At 54.6% G+C, this 1897-nt stretch overlaps 1 annotated feature.

The window, feature by feature from the left end:
- Positions 896 to 1396: an enhancer, noted in NCBI's record as "H3K4me1 hESC enhancer chr1:25510715-25511215 (GRCh37/hg19 assembly coordinates)". NCBI's record gives its function as "activates a minimal SCP1, AML or CMV promoter by ChIP-STARR-seq in naive H9 embryonic stem cells {active_cell/tissue: H9 hESC(naive)}" and the evidence as "EXISTENCE:reporter gene assay evidence [ECO:0000049][PMID:30033119]".

Raw genomic sequence — 1897 nt, 5'->3', positions numbered from 1 at the left:
GAGCTGCTCCAGCTGGAAAGGCTGTCTGGGAGGTGCTGAGATGGGAACTGGACAGCATCTTGCTTCTGTGGAGCGAGAGGTGGGGGCTCTCTAGCTTTCAATTGGATGAGTTATTTTATAAAGTTGAATTGGAAGGAACTAGCAGCCTCTGCCCCCCTTCTCTTACCTGATTAAAACCCCACCCATTCCATCCTTCAGGGGGCCCTTCCCCTCCCCTCTATGATCTCAAAGATGTTTGGTGTCTATCAGTACTGACCTATGTATTTGGATTTCAGTCCAGCTTTCTTTCTTTCTTTTTTTTTTTTGAGACAGTCTCACTCTGTCACCCAGGCTGGAGTGCAGTGGTGCGATCTTGGCTCATTGCAACCTCCGCCTCCCAGGTTCAAGTGATTCTCCTGCCTCTGCCTCCTGAGTAGCTGGGATTACAGGCGCCCACCACCACGCCTGGCTAATTTTTGTATTTTTAATAGAGACGGGGTTTTGCCATGTTGGCCAGGCTGGTCTCGAACTCCTGACCTCAGGTGATTCATCTGCCTTTGCCTCCCAAAGTGCTGGGATTACAGGCGTGAGCCACTGTGCACGGCATCATTTCTCAGTTCCCTTCGGCAAAAGGTTGACATGAGGGTAACAGTACTTGGCACCCAGTCAGCACTCTGTCACCTTTTTTTTTTTTTTTTTTTGAGATGGAGTCTCGCTCTGTCACCAGGCTGGAGTGCAGTGGCGCGATCATGGCTCACTGCAATCTCCGCCTCTCGGGTTCAAGTGATTCTCCTGCCTCAGCCTCCCGAGTAGCTGGGACTACAGGCGCGCACCACCATGCCCAGCTAATTTTTGTATTTTTAGTAGAGATGGGGTTTCACCATGTTGGCCAGACTGGTCTCTAACCCCTGACCTCGTGATCTGCCTGCCTCAGCCTCCCAAAGTGCTGGAATTACAGGTGTAAACCACCGCGTCTGGCCTCTGTCACCTTTTAGTCATCATTGATACTAAGACTAAGGACAAACTGAGTCCCAGAGAGGCTGAGGCCTTGCTCCAGGTCACACAGCAAAGCTGCTACGTCATGAGCCTAGGGCAGCCAGTCCATGGCGCCCAGGCACTGGAGGCCTGGGGCTGTGCACCATGTGCTCGAGAGGGTGGATGTGGGAGAGGCCAGGATGTAGCGCACACACCTTTCTTCAGTTTCTCCATTTACCACATGAAGACAATGGTCCATGACCACCCCTGACCCTGGGGCAAACACTGTTGCCTGCTCAGGTGGGAAAGCAGATGTTTTCATGTTTAGGGGCCCTCCAGGTGGCCCTGGACCCTTCCAGAAGCAGCAGTACAGGAGCCTACCCCTATCATATCCCTCTTCTTGAATTGCTCTGGGCACAGCACCAGGAGGCCTTGGGAAACACACGCGCATGCACGCACACACTTCCCCCTTTCTGGTTCCCATGAAACACATCTCTAATGGCACGGTCGGCCGAGGGTGTGTGGCTCCATCCCTGGGTCTGCCTCCCTAAGGGAACCTGCCAGGGAAAGGGACATGGCTCACCCTCATGGCTAGGAGGCTTGAGGAGGCTGCTTGAGAGCCTAAAGCTTTTCCTCTGCTGGCTGGTTCTGGAGTGAGGGCAGCATGCTTGCTGGGCAGTAATTAGTAGCTGGGCTATGGATGAGAAAAGGCACAGCAGAGCCTGGATCTGGGCAGAGAGGCAGGACAGGCCTGGGCTGGAGCAGGAGGCCCATGGGCAGGTCCGCGGGGCTGGACTGCCTGTGAGGAGGCTGCACCTTGGGTGAGGGCAGCCCTGACCACGTGAAGACCCCTCGTGGAGAGCCCTGGCCCAGAAGCTGCCTCCAATAGGGCTGCTTTTGTGTTAAGATAACTGGAACCCGGTCTCAGGAGAGCAAGCTGACT

The sequence above is a fragment of the Homo sapiens genome, chromosome 1 (genome assembly GCF_000001405.40).
Source record: "Homo sapiens chromosome 1, GRCh38.p14 Primary Assembly".
NCBI classification, from domain to species: Eukaryota; Metazoa; Chordata; class Mammalia; order Primates; family Hominidae; genus Homo; species Homo sapiens.
Note: the sequence above shows the minus strand (reverse complement) of the source record. Positions and strands in the feature narration are given on the sequence as shown.